Source organism: Homo sapiens, chromosome 4 (assembly GCF_000001405.40).
Source record: "Homo sapiens chromosome 4, GRCh38.p14 Primary Assembly".
Taxonomy (NCBI): domain Eukaryota; kingdom Metazoa; phylum Chordata; class Mammalia; order Primates; family Hominidae; genus Homo; species Homo sapiens.
This window is the reverse complement of record NC_000004.12, coordinates 156,759,204-156,781,948: the sequence shown is the minus strand read 5'-3', so window position 1 is coordinate 156,781,948 and position 22,745 is coordinate 156,759,204. Positions and strand designations below refer to the sequence as shown.

At 35.4% G+C, this 22,745-nt stretch overlaps 1 protein-coding gene across 7 annotated transcripts in view, besides 2 other annotated features; it reads left to right on the top strand.

Annotated features, from left to right (window-relative positions):
* Positions 1 to 21,495, top strand: part of PDGFC (platelet derived growth factor C) — a 211,346-nt gene extending 189,851 nt beyond the window's left edge. For all 7 annotated transcript variants that reach the window (NR_036641.2, NM_016205.3, XM_017008455.2 and 4 more), the window contains 3 exons: positions 9,056 to 9,263; positions 13,959 to 14,176; positions 18,743 to 21,495. Coding sequence is in view for 6 of the 7 variants with exons in the window: in NM_016205.3 (NP_057289.1) it covers positions 9,056 to 9,263; positions 13,959 to 14,176; positions 18,743 to 18,859 (543 nt within the window). In the remaining variant the exon portion in view is untranslated. The remainder of the gene's footprint in view (positions 1 to 9,055; positions 9,264 to 13,958; positions 14,177 to 18,742) is intronic.
* Positions 10,210 to 10,711: an enhancer, noted in NCBI's record as "NANOG hESC enhancer chr4:157692390-157692891 (GRCh37/hg19 assembly coordinates)". NCBI's record gives its function as "activates a minimal SCP1, AML or CMV promoter by ChIP-STARR-seq in primed H9 embryonic stem cells {active_cell/tissue: H9 hESC(primed)}" and the evidence as "EXISTENCE:reporter gene assay evidence [ECO:0000049][PMID:30033119]".
* Positions 10,258 to 10,552: an enhancer, noted in NCBI's record as "tiled region #10686; HepG2 Activating DNase matched - State 6:EnhF". NCBI's record gives its function as "activates a minimal TATA promoter and a strong SV40 promoter by Sharpr-MPRA in HepG2 cells {active_cell/tissue: HepG2}" and the evidence as "EXISTENCE:reporter gene assay evidence [ECO:0000049][PMID:27701403]".
* Positions 21,496 to 22,745: the final 1,250 nt, after the last annotated feature.

Genomic DNA, 22,745 nt, shown 5'->3' with positions numbered 1-22,745 from the left:
TTATTTATCTTTGCTAAACTTGGTACAACTTGGGTAATTAAATATATAATAAAAATGTGTATGATAATCCCTAAATATGTATAGTGCTGAATTGTTTATTAAATTTTTAAAATATGCTATTTTGCTTAATCCTTATACCAGTTTTCCTAGGTAGGTGGAATCATCCCTCCTTTGAATACCTGTTCCTACAGACACACACATAAATGAGGTGTTCACCATGTAATTTTGACAAACGCCCCATTTTCTATGGCTGGTAGGTATGCCTCCCCTACCCTGAAGAAGAGAGTACTGTTTGCATTGTCAGCAGTAGGAGAGTTAGTGAGTGCCTTCTGACAGGATAAAATGTACCTGGGAGGGATGAATGGCAGGTTGCAGGAGGCATACTGCATTAACCGAGGCTTGTGAAATCTGTACAAAGCCCTTCCATTGAGTTCCACTGTGAATAATCTATAGAATGTTTAAAATAAAGGCCATTTTTTAAGTTTGAAATTTAAAAGCAGGATATTTTTCTAGAAAAGTAATTGGTATTTTTACTAATACTCTATTGACCATTTGTTGTAGAATGTGTAAATTTCTGTTATTTAATTCAGACAACAATGGCAAAGGCATTGTTTAACAGGGAGACCAGTTAGAAGACTGTTTCACATGTTGGCCTGAATTGTAAAGTGGCAGCAATGGAAGTAGGGAAAATGGTCAGATTCCAGACATAGTATGAAGATTGAGCCAAGATAACTTGATGTGGGATATGGAGTGTAGCACAGAAAAGAGAGGAGCAAAGTACGACTGCAAATTACGGAATTGGCATTTACTGAAATGGTAATAATGTGTTGATAAGAAATAGGAATTTTCTGGTAGTCCGCGTATAAATGATATGCAATGCTTTGAAACTATAGAAGATCACCAAGGGGAAGCATGTAGACAGAAACTAGAAAAGGTCCAAGCAGAGATCCTTGGGACACTCCAGCATGTAAAAAGAAGGTGATAAGGAGGAACCAGCACTCAGAGCTAAGGAGAAGCATCTTGTTAGGTAAAAGAAAATCTGCAGAGCACAGTGTGTGAAAAGCCACTTTCACACACTGATTGGTCAGTTAGTAAGACTGAAAAAACAGACCATTGGATTCAGCCATGTGGGGGGGTCATTGCTGACCTTTGCATACATTCTAATGGCTTCCCCTGAATTAGCTCATTTTTCCCCTCAAAGCAGTTCACTGGGGGATTTTTCTGTTGCCCTCTCAGTTTCAGCTACTTAACACTCTTTTTATACTGTCAAGACATTTTAAAGTAAATAACTCTGTACCCTTATTTCTTACTCCAAAGTAAGGCCTTCCACTCAAGGCACATACAAAGCTAGAATGAAGTTGAGTGTATTATCCAACTATTTAACTTATTGAACATATAATTGACAATGTCTACCAATATAGCCACTATTCCTGAGCTAGATTTCCACAAAACATTCCACGATTTCCCTTAATGGTGGTTGAGTGATACATTGAATAAATATTGTACTGTAGGATAAATTTCTGTAAGAAAGTGTCTTCAAAGATTTTGGGTTTGAGGTATATATTCTTTCATGTTTTGCAGTGAAGGTGTGTTTTTCTTCCAATAGTTCTTAGTTTACATTTTCTTTCATTGGAAGTTCATCACTGTTAGGCGTTATCTTGAGTATTATAACAAAGCAAATCCACAAGTATTCAATATAAGATTAGGAAAAAAATTCCTGCGATACTTTGTTGTCAAACACTTGCCACTGATAGACGTTATTTTAGCTTTTAAGGCCTGTCACATTGTTTATTCAGAGGAATTGTTTTTCAAATTTTAGTAAAAAAAAAAAAAAAAAAAAACCTTAATTTTGGCTTCCCACAGATGCCATTGTGGAAAGCATTCTTAGTACTATGTTATTTAGTCATCCCATGGAATTCTAGTTTTCCACATTGATTATTACTTATAACCCGCAGTTTGACCTAGGAAGTGGGAAACTGTGTATTGACTCTGACTCACCAGCCAACAATGAGCCTGCTCTGTGGTGGAGTTGACTTCTGTGGAGACCTTCAAATCTAAAGTGCTTGCACTAGGGTGAATTTTTTTCTTTAGTTTGTAGACCACCAGTGCTTTAGGTGAGAAGGTGTTGAGAGTAACAGTGTTTTAGTTTGTAAATCTGGTTAGATAGTAATGGTTCTCCAGTTTCATGATGACGGGAAAAGTGAGTCCGTAGCAGTTGTTTCATCTATCAAGTTGGTAAGAAGGTCTACTTAGTAAATAAACATTACTTTTATTTAAGACAACACTTTGGGCAAAATTAGCCATCTCTTTTTTCATATATCCATTCTTCTCAGGAAGACTTCTGCTCTCCGGGGTTTTTCTGAAACCATGAAACTCATGGCCTTTGAAGGCCAGTTGCAGGTTTGAGCCTTAAAATGTATTGCTTTTAAATGCTGGCTCATACGCTTTTCATACTGGACTGTTGCTGTGATGGGTTATATAGATATGTCAAGTTTTATTCAATTGTCATGCTCTTTGAATAAGAACCCCTCAATTTTAAGCCTTGATGTGAATATAATTGGCCACCTTCCCTAGGATTTCTCACTTAAATATATAATCTGCATTACTCACACCATATTAAAACATCTGTTCTTGAGTAGGAATGCAAGCATTTGCTTTTCATTGCCGGCTTAAAAATAATTTAAAAACATGACCCAGATAACTTTTTGAATGAATTCGGATAAGAACATAGGGAAAGGCAAAGAAGCGTGTTTAAATGAATTGTTTCAGGACATTCTTGTGTCTTTACAGAACCTCCCGTGAGTTGTTCCTGGCAGGCATTTGTGTCTGCATGCCCTGTCTGCTGCTTAGGCTCTTTAAAAGTAAGACCTCTGTACAATATATCAGTTTGACATTACATAAATGAGATTGGAGACACCTTTAAGAAGTGATGTTACCCAAGGCTGGACATTTATTGTCTTCTCTTAAACACCTGATCATTTTATAATATTGTTTTATTTTTAACTCCGACAATAAAACCTAATCTGCATTCCTAACCTTTTGTTAGGTATGAATGAATTGAAAACTTTATCAGTTTGAAGTGTACTATATGCAGTTGACTGGGAAAGTTGCAACATAAATCTTTGTAGGCCCTAATAGTTTTGCAACAGTTGCTATGCTACTCAAGGTAAACATTTATATGTGTGTATTTGTCCAAGGAAGATTCATTTTAAGTGTGTTTTTAAAATTGCACTGGCCACAAAAATCCTAATAAAATGACAAGCTATGGTTTTTTAGAGGTAAGTAATGACTGATTGTGAAATTATAAGTAGTTCAGATAGTACTATTCCAAACAGGAAGTCAGCTTTTCTTTTTTCTAAAAAAGGGGAAAGATGTTAACAAGTGCAGAAAATATTTAAGGTAGCCATAATAAAATACAAAACAGTAAAACACTGATTTTTGAAAAGAACAGTGGAAAAGTCAATAAGAAAACTTAACTTTTGCAGCCAAACTTGCTGTCTTGAGCTTGTTCCTATGGCTATGATTTTGTCTGAACTCCTGGGCTGCCAGTTATTTTTCATTAATAAAAATAGAAATATATTTGTTTTTCAGTAATTCTTACATACTAAGTTCACTTTTTTTCTGGTCCACATTCACCAGGATTTGTGTGATACTTGTTTGGTTACTTGTGTGATTCATAATAGCAGATTCTCGTTTTGGCAAGAGAAAACTCTCTTCTATGATGCAGTATACTTGGCTTCTCACAAAGGCAAGCATTTTCTCTTGTTTTGTTAATAGTGCTCACCTCACAGGTTTTTACTTTTGTTCATTTGCCTTATTTTTTATTTTTTTATTTTTTATTTTTTGAGGCAGAGTCTCACTTTATCACCCAGGCTGGAGTGCCATGGCCCAGTCTTGGCTCATTGCAACCTCCGCCTCCTGGGTTCAAGTGATTCTTGTCCCTCAGCCTCCCAAGTAGCTGGGATTATAAGCGTGGCCAACATGCCTGGCTAATTTTTTGTATTTTTAGTAGAGATGGGGTTTCACTATGTTGGCCAGGCTGGTCTTGAACTTCTAAACCTCAAGTGATCCACCCGCCTTGGCTTCGGGAAGTGCTGGGATTACAGGTGTGAGCCACTGCACCTGTGTGAGCCCTTACAGGTTTTTAAATAAATGCTTGTTGAATGATTGAACAGACATGGTGTAATATTATCCTTTGTTTGCTCCTATAATAGTTAAGTGGAGAAGTTGATGGCATGTATTAGCATTCTAGGGCTGCCTTAACAAAATACCACAGACTTAAACAGTGGTGCCTTAAACAATGGAAACTTGTTTTCTCAAAATTTTGGTTGCTAGAAATTGAGATCAGGGTGTCAGTAGGTTTGGTTTCTTCTGACACCTCTCTCCTATACTTGTAGATGTTCATTTTCTTCCTGTGTCTTCAGATGGTCTTCCCTCTCTACTATGTCTATGTTAAAATGTTCTCTTACTATAAGAACACCAATCATGTTAGATTAGGGTCCACCCTAGTTACCTTATTTTACTGATCTCTTTAAAGACCCTGTCTCCAAATACAGGCATTCTGAGATACTGTGAGTAGGACTTTAGTAGAATAGAAATTTTGAGTGAACTCTAATTCAGCCCATAATACAACGTGTGTCTATATTCATTTAAACATTTTTGGTATCAGTTTTCTAAGCACGGACTTGTTTCCTTCAGATTTTTAGGACCATACTGCTTCTATTTATAAGCCAGACATGCCTTTCTAGGATATTTGATGTCTTAAAGAGCAGGGTAAACTTCATGTACTCTCAAAATTTTATATATATATGTAAATGTAGAATTATCCCACAGTTGTACCACAGGGCAGTGTTTCCCAAAACTCACTCATCTGCTAAAACAACAAGGAGAGTTAAAAGAAAAAAAAAATAGAGTTCAGTCCCATTATAGACTTACTAAGTTGTTTATTATATTTTTGAAGCTCTCAAGATAATTTTGCTGAAGCTGTATTGGACCCTCTTGTATCTGATAATTAAGTAGAATTTTTACATGTAAAAGCTGGCAAGAAACTTGAAGGTCATTGAATATAGCTACCATATTTTGTAGTGGAGGAAACTGAGGCACAGATTGATTATGCAGTTTAGTCAAACTCTCTTCCCTACATGTGAGTATCTCTGGGATTTAGAGTCCAGTTCCTTAACTCCTGATCGTAGTTCTCTCATTATCATGTTGTCATTCAGAGTAACTTTCATCAGAGAATTTTAAAGACCCGATTTTGCATAGGATCCTTATCTCATGGAGCTGACATCTTAGAAATGTACTCTTTGGCAGGACACTTCATCACATAGATTGTAGATGCTTTTCTGCTCTTTGACAACCTGTCCTTACAAAGTAATAGGCCTAAAAGGGTCTAGGCTAGGGCCACACCCTCACCAAGCTTGTCATTACTGCCCTGCAGGTGATAACACAGAAGCTTTTCTCTGGCTGAATAAGGGTTTTGGTTTAGTTGTCTACATTGCAGAACACCAAGAAACTCTGCTTCCGGTTTGTGTCCATTGCTATCCACTAAATTGTCTTAGCACAACCTATAGCTTAAAAGTACACCATCATATTTTTATGAAGAATAAAAGACATAAACAGGAAATGTGAAAATCCAAGTCAAGGCGTATTTTGCATATTCTAACCAGTTTAACAGCCCAATCATAAGTGTTTTTAAATATCAAAAGTATTGTTAGAATTTTCTAGATACTAATTATGGGAGAAAATGCTATTAGTCTGTAATGAACAGTGTTACTTTGTTAGAGAGAAAAGTAAAACTTAAAAATTCAAAGACATTTTTTTTTCTGTAACTTCTTTTTTTCATTGCTCCCCCCTTTCTCTCTGAGAGTCCCTTTAAACAACTTAGAAAAGCAGAACTTTGAAACTGAACAACTCGGCTCTTTCTTGAACCAGTGGGTGGAGGGACAGTCATGAGAAGGCCCTTAAATAGAAGCACCACTTCCCCTGTTCTGTCCAGGGATTGATTCTTTGAATCCTGGGAACTTATGTTCATTCTTCTTTCCTGTTTTCTGGGTGGGGACCACTGTGTGTGGGGTGTGGTGGGGAAAGAGTTGTCTTTCTAAATTTATCAAATTTTAATTTAAATATTTAGAAGCTTAGAGATTTGTAACACCAACTGATCTATACATACAGTAACAGAAGATGCTTTTCTCCCAACCTTTCACATTTGAAGGGATGGGTATGCAGATTGCAGATACTTCACTGGACCTAAGGTGTGCATCTTTTGTTTGCCCATTATTACAGGCTTATCTTGTTTTGCCTTCTTTTGTGTTAATATTTTGGACTGCATCTCAGCAATATTAATTTCAGTTAGAACTTTGTATTGCTTCAAAAGAAATGCTTTATTCAGAGAGTCTCCAACAGACTGGAAGCAAAATAAGCCAAATCATTCTTGGATTACAGTCTAATTGAAATTACCCTACATAGCAATTATATTTTATGCTTAAAATATACATCTGCACCCTGACAATTTAATAAATAATGTATACTTTTTGTATTAACTTGCTAGCAACCACTTATTTTATCTGTACAGATTTTGAAACTTTCCATTTGTAATAATACTGATTCTTTGACTATTATTGACCCCTTAATTTTTACTTTATAAAACATTTGTATACATATATAGGCTTATATTTTTGAAATATGCAAAAATTTGCGTTAACTTTTTACACCATAAATTTAATCAATAGTAGCTTAATTAGCTAAATTAAAATTAAAACCGTTTTTAGATCAATGTTTATATCTATAATAGAGTTTTCAGTCATAGTTCTGTCAAAGCAATTTTGTGTTCCTTGGACAATTATAGAAAACACTGGGTAATAAAAACATATTAGGGTAATAAACTCTCAAAGTTTAACAGACTAATGGGTAGAGCAAAAATATCATAAAATAATTAGAAAATATCTTAGTCCTAATATTTTAGCCAGATCCTTGACATTATTGAAATTAAGTCTTTAATAGTAACCATTGTACTGTATATATATGTACTTACACATTTTCCATGTATCTTTGCGTATCTTTGTTTATTCTGTAACATCATGTCATAAACCTCAGATATACAAAATAAAACTTATTTAAAAAACAAAAAGATGAAAGGAGTAACAGCTGAGTGGAGACTTGGAAAGTACATGTGAGTAATCCAGGCAAGGAAGGAGGCCAGACATTGTCATTCCACTGTGCTTTTCTCATAATGCACACACAGGCCCTGGAACACTGTAGTTACTCAATAAACTTTTGTTAAAAAAAAAAAAAAAAAAAGGATGAAATCATTGTTGGCCCAAGGCTGCCACGTTCATTTCTGCCGATTATACCCTGTAAGAATGTTCCCCTGTGGGCAGCGGGACACCCACAAAGCCAGGAGCCCCACGAGGGTTGTGCCTGTCCAGAGGAAAGGTGCTCCTTTTCCTAGTTTACTGGGCAGCTTCTGCTCTTCAAGCCAAGTGCTCACAGAGCAGCCCACAGAGGGCTGTGGGACAGTGATGACCCTGTTGTGCCAGGTTTCATGGATGAATTGGATTTTTGAAAAGGTCATTGTAATGGTAAAGATTTATGATGTGGATCAACGGGGGGAGAGTTTTTGCATGTCAGGTATGGGGACAGATTTAGCATAAGTTACAAAGTCTGAGATGATATTATATGTGCAGTAGTCAGTGAAGAGACTAGACTGATTGGAACAAAATATGCATGTCTCTGATGAGTAGCAGATTAGAGTGGAAGGTGAGCAGAGGTCAGTTTTTGAGGGCTCTGAATGCTGTGTAAGGAATTTGGATTTTATCCTCCAGATGAGAAATCACATAGGCATTTGTCCAAATTCATCATAGGATCAGTAATATCTTATTTAGTAGATTAACCCAGGATTATGCAGCATAGAACAAAAGGAGAGAAAAATGATTAAAGGTAAGGAGATAAGGTTAGAAGCTGCTATTTATAGTACATGTTTTTAGTATGGAGCCCAGGATGGAAGTAATGAGAATGAAAAGGAAGAGCCGATGTGTTAGTGTTTTCCTATATGTGGGCATTTAGATTGCTTCCAGTCTTTCTAATCATTGAACATATTTCCATGTGCATAAGTGAAAGAATATTCAGTGCTTATCAGTTACATCAGCTAAAGTGTTGTGCCTACGTACACTAACTTCTGCAGGCAGAGCAGAGGAGTTCCAATTTAATCACATCCTCAGTAATCCTTTTTAAAATTCTTGCCCATCTCATCTGTGTGAAAAAGTATCCTTTTTTCGTATGTGAAATAATATCTCTCTTTGGATTTCTCTGATAATGAAGTTCAGCATATTTTCATATGTTTATTGACCATTCAAGCTTTTTATCTGTAATATGCCCATTTTTCTTCCATTGCATTTGTCTTTATTTTTGTATATTCTGGATACTAATCTTATGACAGTCACATAGTTTGTCAGTGTGTTCTCCAGTGTCCCTCCGATCTCTTAATCTTGTTTATTAGGCATTTTATATTAAAAATATATTGTAGGCAATTTATTAAGCTGATCTTTTATGATTTAGATATTTTCTATCTTGATTAATAAGTTCTTTAATGTCAAATGATTTCTAACTATTTTGTTCTAGATCTTTTGGGTTAATTATTTCTTATTCCATTTTTAATTTATGTGACACTAATTTGCATAACTACCAGGTAATTTTTCAGATTAAGGAAAATGAAAAGTGGAAAAGAAAAGGAAAATTTGGTAAACTGTATTATAGTTTTCATTCTAAGTTTGTAATTGAACCATGAAGATATTTTTAATTCTTTTATATGACCAAAAGATATCCATATCCCTCACGGTTGGTGGTAATGAAAATTAATGTCTTTCTCATTGATTTTACAGGAAATCTATCAGAGTTCATCTTCATGAAGTCTTTGCAGAGTAGTTATTTCTAATTGGATTCAATACAATTTCCCTTCACACATATTTCCAGCCTCAGTCTTTATAATTTCTTGCATATGTCCAGAAGGAATACATTGTCGTTTTTAAAACAGTTAACACAGGATTCATTTTACTTTCAGCAATTCACAGAAGCTGTGAGTCCTTCAGTGCTACCCCCTTCAGCTTTGCCACTGGACCTGCTTAATAATGCTATAACTGCCTTTAGTACCTTGGAAGACCTTATTCGATATCTTGAACCAGAGAGATGGCAGTTGGACTTAGAAGATCTATATAGGCCAACTTGGCAACTTCTTGGCAAGGCTTTTGTTTTTGGAAGAAAATCCAGAGGTAAGCTCCCTCTTCAGATTAGAACCTCATTTAATTTTCTTAACAGCTAATGTTTCAGATTCTTCTGCCACAGCTTCTAAAGGGTAGAGTTTAAAATTCATCAGTGATATATTCAATACATTTTCTTATCATTTGAGCATATTTATATATTGAATAATAATATATACAAAAGGAGGAACTTAGTTATAACCCAGTGGGTGTGGAAAATTGAAAGGGGGATACTTCTGAAAATTCCAGTTATATATTATCTTCAAAAATATCATTTTGATGAAGTCCTTCATTGCATTTTACAAAAATCACTGCTTACTCAAACCTAATACTTGGAATATGTTGATTTTGGGACTCAAAAGAAATTATCATAGCTGCAAAACCAGGTTAGGGATAGAAAAAGGGGATCCTCTACAAAAATGTTTGTCTACAGTATCTCCCATGGGTCAGTATTATATGACTTTGCATTTTCTAAGCCTAGACAATTCTAAGAACTATGAAAAATGGCAACGACCCAACATAAAATAGAATTCATAGTTTTCAAGGCAGGATTCATAGCAAGAAAACAAGAACCTAAAAGAACCCACACCATAATAATTTTTAACTATATAAATTTGCTGTTGAAATAATCACTTTTGCCCATATGGGTGTATCTTTCTCTAAGAGTGAAAGTGATGTTAATTAAACCTAATTCTGCATGGCCAAGAAATTGGAAATAATCTTAACTGAGTTTTCTATAAAATTACCTAATTTTTTTAGTAACATTGGAATTGGAAAGCATCCATAGCAGACACAAATGAAAACGTATAGAAATAACTGTTTAATTACAATGCACTCAAAATATCTGTTTTAGTCTGTCAGAAACAGTGAAATCGACTGCTTTGGAGAATGCAGTGACAGCCTAGAGAATTTATATGAAAGGAATAATGTTCGGTTAATTTGAGCCATTCACAAGGGCAGATTGCACCAGACTTGCTCTTCTAAACCTTGTCAGAAGGAAACCCGATTCCTGCCCTTTCCTGCTCTAAGAGTTGCAGCTTTTTTGGATCATGAGCTTTAATCTCAGCAGGTCATGTTCAGACTTGCCCAGCCCTGGTATTTCACTATGCCAACAGACGTGGTTTCCTTTTGGCAATATTTGAAATCAGTGTTCAAGTGCCTGGGCAGTTGAGTCCTGTCCAGATGCTGAAAGCTGTTACATATTTATAAGATTTGATCTTGATGAATAACTTGATGAATAACTTACGAGCAACACTTCCCTTCCCTCCCACTTAGGAACAGGAAGATGAAGATCTGCAAGACTAGCTGAAATATCCATGAATAGAGCCCTTGTTAGCAAATTTGAAGTTGATTATCATGTTGATCTGTAAGAAGCAGGGGCAGTGAATCAGGTTCTAAACTGAGATCTAGTTTTTTGACAGCTGATTTCTGGATTTGAGCCTAAAAACCTCCCTTCTAGCCAAGGCTTTATGCCTGAAAATGTACGCCTGGTGCTCAAAGATTTGGCCAGAGGCTAGCCTGCATTCAAAAGCATCGGAAGCTGAACAGATCTTTCAGATATTCATTTAACACTTTCAAAATTGAAGCCCTTTGCAGTTTTCCAAATTTATTAACTTTTTAAGCATGCAAAAAGTGTGAGAAAAGCAGTGTACATTTTTGGAACTTTACATAAACTAAAATACAAGTGTAGGATAACATCTATATAGACAAAACCAACTCCCCTCCTGAGAGTATCTCTACAAAGGAATAAGGAGTCAAACTTTTAAAAGCTTCTAATTAGACATTGAAATAGATTTCCCACAGAATAAACATCACAGTGTTACCACATTCATCTTAGAAAGACCACCCTCAGATTACATTACAGTAATAGACTATCTTTGGACTGAATATCTTAAAAGAATGAACAACTAACAAAGAAAAATATTACTGTTTTTTGTAGCAAAACGTATAATATTAATGACATTTGCATTTAAAAATAATGATTTTGGTTGGTGATGTGCTCAAAATCTGCATTCTTTAGAAAAACAAACTAATACCTGTATTTGTTTTCTTAGGAGATAATTATGAAAAGGAAAAAAATCTGAAGACCAACTTTTACAAATATTTGGCAGAGGGAAACTTCTTTAATATTATTATAGTTAAGCTATTCAAAAAGTATCCTTTGGTACATTATCTTTCTTTCTTCTTTTCCTTTTTCTCTTTATTTGCCTTCCCCCCCCAAAAGTACTATACAATGTTTCAAGAATGTATGACATATGACTTAACTTAATGAAGCTTATATGCGTTTGAAGCCTTAGCAGTAGGCAGCATAAATTTCAAAATGAAATGCCAAATTTAAAATCCTTAGTTATATTTTTAGAAAACTGTGGACTGCATAAATGCTTTACTTTTTTTTCTTTCACTTTCTTCCTCTAGTTCAGGGTTTTCATTCATACCTTGCTACTGCTACAAAAAAATACTGTATTTTCTAAGTCAAGCTTAACTAGTACGTAAAAAGGGCTTTTGACTTTTGTGTCAAACATGATAAATGAGTGGAAGCTAAGTTAAAAGTGTGTTTAAATTTTCACATTGTAGCAGGTATCACAACTAAGTTCACTTGGGAAATCTGTCTAACCTTTTATTGTGGTTAAGTAAACATTTTAAAGGAAACGTATACAATCTCATTTTCTATTATCATGAAATAGCATATTTAAAACTACTTGACATAGGTGAATATGCTTTGAGAGCTGAGAGCTTCTTCACTCACATTCTAAAGAAGTATAATTCTTAAATAAGCATTGAAGACTTTGGCAACCAGATTTTGTGTTTGTGCATATTTTAAGTCTTCTTCCTCCTTGCCCAGGCATTAAATACTAGAGAAAAGCTTCAAATAAGCTCATATATAGTTTTAACAATTAAAGAGGAATGTATGCATATACTATTAGATCAGCAAAATGAAACCAGGTAAAATATGTGATACCATTTAGCATAATGAGCTCATTACTTTTATTAGGGATAAGTTGGCCTATTCAGAGCATTTGAAAGAAGGATTTGCTTTAAATATTTAAAAGCTTTGCCTTCACAGGATCATTTTCAGATTAAAAAGAAATCTTTCAGTAGCCAAATGAAACAATGACTTTCCCTTGAGTTAGAAAAATAATTTTTTAGCTGAATAAGGTGTTGAAATGGACTCATTGAATTGGGATTTCTTTGGTGCTTTCCTATACTTGACTCAGGTTTTAGTCTATCATATAGTTTACATACATTTCTAATTTACAATTACCTATGCATAATTTTATAATACGTTTCTTAAAATACTTAAATTATCAAAGACAATTAAGACAATATAAGTATTAAAAACACCTGATCACATGTATAACAAATCCAAGAAAATAAGCATTTGATTCTTACCTTGTCACTTAAAAATTAATAAAACTTAGCTTTTAATTTAAAAAATTGGATTACATCGTGATTATTTCTACTTGAAGCCATCTTTAACCAGAAAATAGCTTTCTTTTTTTTCATTCATGTCTGTGTTATCCATATTAGTGGAAAGGTATTTAAGTAGGTTTATTATATTTTAGATAATATTTCTAAATTTTTAAAAAACTTTATTAGGAGAAAAAAACCCTGAAGGCATATATGTTATCTGAAAGTATTCAATCTCATTGGAATTGCTTTATTTGAATATTTCTAGGGGAAAAAAATAGGCAGAGATGTAAGGCAGAAAATAAATTATATTAGAAGTCTTTATCCTAATAGTAATTACCTACTATTCATGTGATATGTATAAATTCACATTGAACATGGCATGTTATTTCGATATAATTTTCCTGAGGCAGAATCATTTTGTAGTTAAAAACAATGGTTCTTTGAGGATTTACTGCAATAAAGAATATTTTGTTAGGTCCTCAAAAGTAGGTATTCTTCATAGAATAAAGCACAAACAGCATAGTTAACCAACTTGCTAAAGGAGTAGAGGCTGGGGTTATAAATTAGATAAATTAAACATTTCTTCCACCCATTAGCAGGGGAAGGATAGGTATCTGAAGGAGTTTAGTTTAGTTAGTCTGAATTTCCAAGATGGGAAATCATTCAATGCATTTGAAGCATTGCCTTCCAACAACTTCTGCTCTTATAAAGTATGTCATTTTTTTTCACTCATGGTCTACACAGCTGTCTTCAAATGTGCGTTCTCTTCATGCTTTTTTTATATTTTATGATGGTTATTGCCATAGAGATTATAGAAAGAGCTGTTGACACATTTCAATAAATTGTTCTTCACTAATTGTATGAGCCTAAAATCCTTTTAAGAATTATACTTGTTTTTTAATCAAAGCATTCATCATCTTGCATTTTATTCTTCTCTCCTGTGTTCTCCATGTCTATTTTTTTTTTTTTTACTAAGGTTAAAACGTGTGGCCTTTTTTGTCTGTATAAAGTTTCCTATTTATAGCTTTCAACTGTTTTGTTGGCTCTGTTCTTAATATTACACAATGGCATCTCTTTACTGGTCGCTAAGTCATAATGAAGCTTTGTTTGCTATGAACTAGAAGGTCCAATTTGTAGTTGTATATCTCTAAAATCTACTTACAATAAGAGCGGATATTGTTATGGATATTGTTCATGAAATAACGTAAGATTTCTTTATGAAAAGAGCTTAATGAAATACATTCAGGCTCAAAGCATCAACATCTATTTTTCTTTGCTTTCTTTTATACCATATAGTGGTGGATCTGAACCTTCTAACAGAGGAGGTAAGATTATACAGCTGCACACCTCGTAACTTCTCAGTGTCCATAAGGGAAGAACTAAAGAGAACCGATACCATTTTCTGGCCAGGTTGTCTCCTGGTTAAACGCTGTGGTGGGAACTGTGCCTGTTGTCTCCACAATTGCAATGAATGTCAATGTGTCCCAAGCAAAGTTACTAAAAAATACCACGAGGTAGGTATACAATTTTCTTTTTGGTTTCCTTCGGGTATTTTATGTCTTAGAACAAAACAGTGAATCTGAAATGCGTTTATGTTTGGAAAAAAGACGTAGTATTCATGGGGAAAAAAAAGAGGTCTACAAATAGTTTATGTTTTTGTTTTTTAAAATTAGCACCTTTAATTAAAATTCCAGATATTAGGGATTTAGAAAGTATATTCTCTGGTAGTATAACATGAGTGGTCAGTGAAGTTTTTGCCTCTCATACCAAAAATAAAGTGTTTTCTGAGGGAAAAAAAAATGAGTAAAGTTTTTCAACTTTTAAACTTTTCAAAATATGAAGGAAAAATATTTCAAAGACAAGCTCAGAGATAAATTATTGTCTACTTTGGAGAAAGGAGAGCTTTGATATTTATTTTTCTACTTGGGACAACAGAGACTCCTAAGATGACATATTCATAATTATAATAAACTTTGTATTATTCATGTTGCTTCAAATAACATGTTAAACTTTGTGTGGATGTTTTAACCTTTCATCTCTTTATTCTTTGGAATAAAAGAAAATATAATATGACATGTTAGTAATTATTGTTTTTTAGAACCCTGGAAACCTTAGAACTTGTACACTTAATGTTTTTCTTAGTGATGGAGTCTCCCAATTAAATCCCAACACCTCCCCCAGCAGCATCATACAGCATCATTCTATCAGGAAGCCATCCTTCTTGATGAGTCAACTTGAATTTCTACAAAACATTAACATTAGACCAAGTCAAAATCTGCCCTTCTGACATCATTTCAATATGACTGCCTTTCCTTTCATTTTTCCATTAAATAAGAATACAGAACAAATATCTAACTAATAAATAAAATGATTTTTCATATGCATCAAGATTTCAGTGAAATCCTTAATGAAGTGAAAGCCGAGCTCTAGAATGGAAACAGGGTCCCTTGTCTTCGCGAATCCAGTGCTTTTTTTCCCACTTTATCAATTGCCAACACAATATTGGTGAAGGGCAGGAAAATCATGTCATAGGAAGTGTAGTTTAGGAAACCATGCATGTTTAGGTTACCTAACAGATGAGGGTTTCACTGAACACTTTATGCATATGAAAAGTCATTTTATTTATTAAGTAGGTATTTATTTCATGTTATTTTATTTAGTGGAAAAAAGTAAAGGTCATGGAGTAATTTTTAAATGAAGCCAGAAGGGCAGATTTTCATTGGTGTAATTTAAAGGTTTTGTAAAATTTAAAGTTGACTTTTCAAGAAGGATGGTTTCCTGATACATGTATGGCACCTGATGCTGCTGGAGGAGGAGATGGGATATAATAATTGAAGAAAACTAAAAGATACTGAAGCATGATAATGTTATTAATAAGATTCTTACTTTTTGTGTCAATCACTGGATCTCTTTGTGGGAAGACATTTTAGCCAAATAAATATATTTTCTTAATGATTTTTCTAAGTTCCACATAAGAATTTTCAGAAAAGCAAGTCAGGAACCTTATATATGTATAAACTTAGATGTTGTATCTTCATTGAAATGCTGGTGTCCTACCAGTCCTAGCATGACTAATTCATCCTCAGTGCATCTGTAGGGCTTCAAAGGTACTCTATTAGAGAACTTTTACTATTTCAAAATTATTGTCTATTTTTCTTTGTTTCTATTGAATTGAGAGCTAAGGAAAACAAAAGTCACATTGCAGTGTAATGCTTGAGAACACAAACTCCAAAGCTAGACATCCCAGTTTTGAACCTAACATTTGTTTGCATGTGACTTTGAGCAAATTGCTTAGCCCTCGTGCCTAAATTCCTCATCTATAAGGTGAGTCTCCAACCCTCATACTTTATTGTGGGGATTTAGTGGGTTGATATTTACAAAACACTTAGAATTAAGCCTGGCAATTTTCATGCCATTAATATATATTAGCTGCTCTCTCACTCATCTTTGCTTTTTCACTGTGCCTAGTCTTATTCTTTGGTTATGGTAAATGATCAATAAAGATTTAATGAATTTTGCCCTGAAGCAGGAAAGGTATTCTGGCCAAAAGATCTACAGGATACTCTGACAATAGTAAAATATTCGTTCCTTTTTCTCTGTTCTTACTTGGCTTAATAATTTTCATCTTGTTTATATTTTTACATATTTAATTTTTTATGAAATAATAGTCTTACATTCTTACATTATGTCTGTTTGTTTTGCACAGACAAACCTAAAAATCTGTAGCATTCAGTTGCCTGATTCTAGTGCTGAATCCCTGTTCCCAGTGCTCTGTGGTTCTCAAAAGTTCAAGGTCATTTTGTTTGAACGTGTTGAGCAATGGTCCATGAGCATTTGTTCCTTGCCGGTTCTCTCTGTGTCTTATCTACTATCTTCCACAATCTCTGGCTCAGCTTCTCCCTGGACATTCCTTTTCATGGACTTATCATTTTAATTTCAACCTCTCCGTCTAAATTTTCTGAGATGAACATTAGCCCTGTTTCTTTTCTGGTGGCATAATCTATGTCCTTTTCCTCTTTAATATTGTCTGGGACCTGCTGATCATTTTCCAAGTCTATTTTTCTCCACCAAAGTCAAAACTTTCAAAATGAATTAAAAACAAGAACACTAATTGTGTCCTCCACCATTAGAATTTCTTATCCAGGACTTAAGTTTCTAGAACATAAGAGATTCTTCTGCTATTTGTAAATCTCCATGAGCATCAGCAGACAAAGACAGGAGACTTTGATTCAGCAAATGCATCTTGGCATATGCATGCTAGAGGAAGCAAGGATTGCAGCCTGGCCTGACTGTTAGGACCGTGTATGGTGGCCTCTCTAATCTTTACCTTACATAGTAATTTTTTTTTCCTTGCTGAATGGGAAAATGCATACAGGTGGACATAGGAATTGAAGACGTTGTCTATGCCAATATTGCAATTTATCTTACCCACCCACCCAATCTCATTCCAGAAACAATTTGCAGCAAGACTGTGATAAGGAATAGTGCCAATATCTGAAATGTAGTTAGTCTGACACACTAAATTTTTCAAAAATAATAAATCAGTACTAACATAAAATAGTATTCAGTAGCCATTGAGTTAAATTTCACATTAAAGAAATAAAGTCAAAGTAATTTTTATTTTAGAATTGTGAAATAGATGAGAAAACTACTTTAAAAGTTTAGAATTTCTAATAGTTATTACAAGACTTTGAAGTTTATCTCTTCAGGAAGAAAGTTACTAAATAAATAGAATGTATGAGCAGTGATATTCTGAGTCTATAAAATTATTATCTATCTCTCTAATAATTCATCTCTGGGCTAGGTACAAATAAAGGCTGTGTCACTTACTCTGTCTAAGCCTCTGTTCACTCATGTGTAAAATAGGGGTAATAATTGTAAATTACTTCATAGAATTCTTGTGAGTTAAAGTATGTAAAAACGTTATTATTGTGCCTGGCACCCAGTAAGCATTCAAAAAATGTTAGCTAATTAACCTCTGATATTACCACATACTCCAGTGAGGTATGCATTCTCTGTTTTTCTTTTAAGTCTTTAAATAGAACAGTCATAAGACTTGACTTGTGCCTTTTTGGATTAATGAACATTTTTAGGACTGGTAGCTTTTAGAAATGGCTTTATGAGGTTATCTATGTCGTATCCAAAAAGTAGAGATGCTAGAAAATTTCATATTATTTTGTGCTCTGGCCTTTGTTCATAATCCAAACAAAATACAATTTCCTAAACTTTATTGTTTCTATCATAAGAAATAAAATGTAATACACTTAAATAGGTAGCAACACCAAATACTTTAATTAATATTTTATAGAATACACAACTGCATCTTTTTGTCATAGTATTAAGAGGAAATATGTGTAGCATAAGTGTCAATCTTGCTGTATTTTTATTAAAACCTTGACAATCTGAACTGCAGATAACTTTATTTAATAGAGGCATCATTGTTATTATTGCCAAACCTCTTCTCACTGCACAGTAGGATCCAGCTGCAGGAAGTTAGCTGTGACTGGGGCTGATGTCTATGAAGTACATCTAATCCATCTCATCAAGTTTATAGAGGACTTGAAGTGTAGCCAAGAAAATTAATGAGTGGCATAATTGAGCAGACTCAGCTGTGGAGTGATCATGTTTCTTTCCACAGTATTTCTGCACTTGAGTGTATTGCATCAAGTATAAATATTTGTTAAATGTGTGAATAAATGAATGAATGAAAGAAAGCGACAAACAGAAAAACGAATTTTATATTGGTAGTTCCAAAATACTTAAGGTGAAATTCTAAAATAGTCAGATAAATAAAATAACAATTGCGTGGTGAGTCTTTCCATTTAAGTACTGTTCCTTATTCAGAGACAGAATGCTTCCAAATTGTTGGCATTAAAATGTCTGTGCTTTCATGAAATGATGATTTTTTTTTTTTTTTTTTTTTGGTGGGAGAGTGTTTTCATAATGCGTGCTCTAGGAAAAATTAAAATATGTGTCTTTCTTGGGCCCCAAGATTCTTTTCTAAAACGTTACTTGTTTATAAAAGCCAGTCATAGACATTCGTTGATTTTTAAAAGTGGCTTACTCTTATTCCCTTTCAGGTCCTTCAGTTGAGACCAAAGACCGGTGTCAGGGGATTGCACAAATCACTCACCGACGTGGCCCTGGAGCACCATGAGGAGTGTGACTGTGTGTGCAGAGGGAGCACAGGAGGATAGCCGCATCACCACCAGCAGCTCTTGCCCAGAGCTGTGCAGTGCAGTGGCTGATTCTATTAGAGAACGTATGCGTTATCTCCATCCTTAATCTCAGTTGTTTGCTTCAAGGACCTTTCATCTTCAGGATTTACAGTGCATTCTGAAAGAGGAGACATCAAACAGAATTAGGAGTTGTGCAACAGCTCTTTTGAGAGGAGGCCTAAAGGACAGGAGAAAAGGTCTTCAATCGTGGAAAGAAAATTAAATGTTGTATTAAATAGATCACCAGCTAGTTTCAGAGTTACCATGTACGTATTCCACTAGCTGGGTTCTGTATTTCAGTTCTTTCGATACGGCTTAGGGTAATGTCAGTACAGGAAAAAAACTGTGCAAGTGAGCACCTGATTCCGTTGCCTTGCTTAACTCTAAAGCTCCATGTCCTGGGCCTAAAATCGTATAAAATCTGGATTTTTTTTTTTTTTTTTGCTCATATTCACATATGTAAACCAGAACATTCTATGTACTACAAACCTGGTTTTTAAAAAGGAACTATGTTGCTATGAATTAAACTTGTGTCGTGCTGATAGGACAGACTGGATTTTTCATATTTCTTATTAAAATTTCTGCCATTTAGAAGAAGAGAACTACATTCATGGTTTGGAAGAGATAAACCTGAAAAGAAGAGTGGCCTTATCTTCACTTTATCGATAAGTCAGTTTATTTGTTTCATTGTGTACATTTTTATATTCTCCTTTTGACATTATAACTGTTGGCTTTTCTAATCTTGTTAAATATATCTATTTTTACCAAAGGTATTTAATATTCTTTTTTATGACAACTTAGATCAACTATTTTTAGCTTGGTAAATTTTTCTAAACACAATTGTTATAGCCAGAGGAACAAAGATGATATAAAATATTGTTGCTCTGACAAAAATACATGTATTTCATTCTCGTATGGTGCTAGAGTTAGATTAATCTGCATTTTAAAAAACTGAATTGGAATAGAATTGGTAAGTTGCAAAGACTTTTTGAAAATAATTAAATTATCATATCTTCCATTCCTGTTATTGGAGATGAAAATAAAAAGCAACTTATGAAAGTAGACATTCAGATCCAGCCATTACTAACCTATTCCTTTTTTGGGGAAATCTGAGCCTAGCTCAGAAAAACATAAAGCACCTTGAAAAAGACTTGGCAGCTTCCTGATAAAGCGTGCTGTGCTGTGCAGTAGGAACACATCCTATTTATTGTGATGTTGTGGTTTTATTATCTTAAACTCTGTTCCATACACTTGTATAAATACATGGATATTTTTATGTACAGAAGTATGTCTCTTAACCAGTTCACTTATTGTACTCTGGCAATTTAAAAGAAAATCAGTAAAATATTTTGCTTGTAAAATGCTTAATATCGTGCCTAGGTTATGTGGTGACTATTTGAATCAAAAATGTATTGAATCATCAAATAAAAGAATGTGGCTATTTTGGGGAGAAAATTATGTGTGTGTGTGCTCAAGATTTATTTCTTGGACTCTGAGAAAATGAAAGATAAAATTTTCTGTTATGATTTTCATTTAGCAAAAGCATATGTCAATTCAAAAGACAAAAAAAGGGAAGATACCTGTGAGCCTTCTCTGCCTCTTGTTTCCAATGCCTTTGAGCAATGGTTTTATTTTTCTTACTGGTCTTAATACAGATTTCTGGTAATTTAAGTTTCACCTGACTTGAAAGTTGTATGGTTTATGAAATGCTTGGTGATAGGTGGTATGGTAGTATGAAACTGGAAAAAAACTTGCAGGTTTCCACTCATGTCTTCATTGTCACTGGCAACTACTAAATGGGGTGAGCATAAATTGATTTGGTGCATGGATTATTGTACATTGCACACTTCAAGATATGGTTCCTCAGTTCCAGACATAGATTCCTATTCAGGGCTGGTATCTTCAGCATCCTTTCCTCAGCCTTTCAACTTGGCAGAGATGTCTAGTGTCCAGGGCCTTCTGTCTTCAGACTGCTCTTCAGGCAAGCACCCTTTTCCTGTGCTTTGACACCTGCAGTTCTGCCCTGCCTCCAACTATGTGGAAAACAAAGAAACAAAATGAGCCTATGTGTTCTGTCTTACTTCCTTACCTTTTCCTGGTTTTGTCCTATCCATATAGAGGCCAACTAGATATATGGAATATGCAACGTAGTAAGTAGTTGGCAGTTTACAACTTTCATTAGTATAGTAAAGACTACTAAGTCTTAGTAAATAGCCTGTTTAACTGTGTTTAATCCATTGTTTCCCATCTTTGAACGAAATATATTTTCCCTTTTTTAATATTTATTTTTTGTTTACTTATAAAATCTTGACAGCCAGAAGAGATCATAAGGGTAGCAGTCCTCAGTTGCCAGTCGGTGAGTGGTTACCATGTGAGGACTAACCACTTTATAATCACTTACTCATAGATCGTCCTGTGTATTTTACTAAACACACACACACACACACACACACATAAATAGCACATGACCCTAATTTCTGAGAAGTACAGTAAGTATTGACTGTATTGACCACACACCGTTTTGTGTATGATATCTGTTTCAAGCCTTTGTCCTTGAGACATGGGCTGTTTTGCCCAGTGATGTTTACTAAAATAAAAGCAAGCCTTAAATGTCATGAGGCAGGTGTTCATGTCTACATTTTTCATTTCTGCATCCCATTTCTACATTCCCTCCCTCATCTAATAATTCTCATGTGCACTTGGTAAAGGTGCAAAGACCAAAGTAATGAGAAGCTACACTGTGAGAAACATCCTGGCTATGACTTGGTTACCCTCGGTGCATCCCTGTCTCCAGGTGCATTGACCATGGTTTGGTTACCCTCGGTGCATCCCTGTCTCCAGGTGCATTGACCGTGGTTTGGTTACCCTCGGTGCATCCCTGTCTCCAGGTGCATTGACCGTGGTTTGGTCCCTCGGTGCATCCCTGTCTCCAGGTGCATTGACCATCGTTTGGTTACCCTCGGTGCATCCCTGTCTCCAGGTGCATTGACTATGGTTTGGTTACCCTCGGTGTATCCCTGTCTCCAGGTGCATTGACCGTGGTTTGGTTACCCTCGGTGCATCCCTGTCTCCAGGCGCATTGAACGTGGTTTGGTTACCCTCGGTGCATCCCTGTCTCCAGGTGCATTGACTATGGTTTGGTTACCCTCGGTGTATCCCTGTCTCCAGGTGCATTGACTATGGTTTGGTTACCCTCGGTGTATCCCTGTCTCTAGGTGCATTGACCGTGGTTTGGTCCCTCGGTGCATCCCTGTCTCCAGGTGCATTGACCATGGTTTGGTTACCCTCGGTGCATCCCTGTCTCCAGGTGCATTGACTATGGTTTGGTTACCCTCGGTGTATCCCTGTCTCCAGGTGCATTGACCGTGGTTTGGTTACCCTCGGTGCATCCCTGTCTCCAGGCGCATTGAACGTGGTTTGGTTACCCTCGGTGCATCCCTGTCTCCAGGTGCATTGACCGTGGTTTGGTCCCTCGGTGCATCCCTGTCTCCAGGTGCATTGACCATGGTTTGGTTACCCTCGGTGCATCCCTGTCTCCAGGTGCATTGACTATGGTTTGGTTACCCTCGGTGTATCCCTGTCTCCAGGTGCATTGACCGTGGTTTGGTTACCCTCGGTGCATCCCTGTCTCCAGGCGCATTGAACGTGGTTTGGTTACCCTCGGTGCATCCCTGTCTCCAGGTGCATTGACTATGGTTTGGTTACCCTCGGTGTATCCCTGTCTCCAGGTGCATTGACTATGGTTTGGTTACCCTCGGTGCATCCCTGTCTCCAGGTGCATTGACTTCTGCTTGTGATTTGGTTTAAGAAAAGGCAGAAAATGCAAGTTTTACACTTAAGGTAATATCCTTATCTCTAAAAGCAT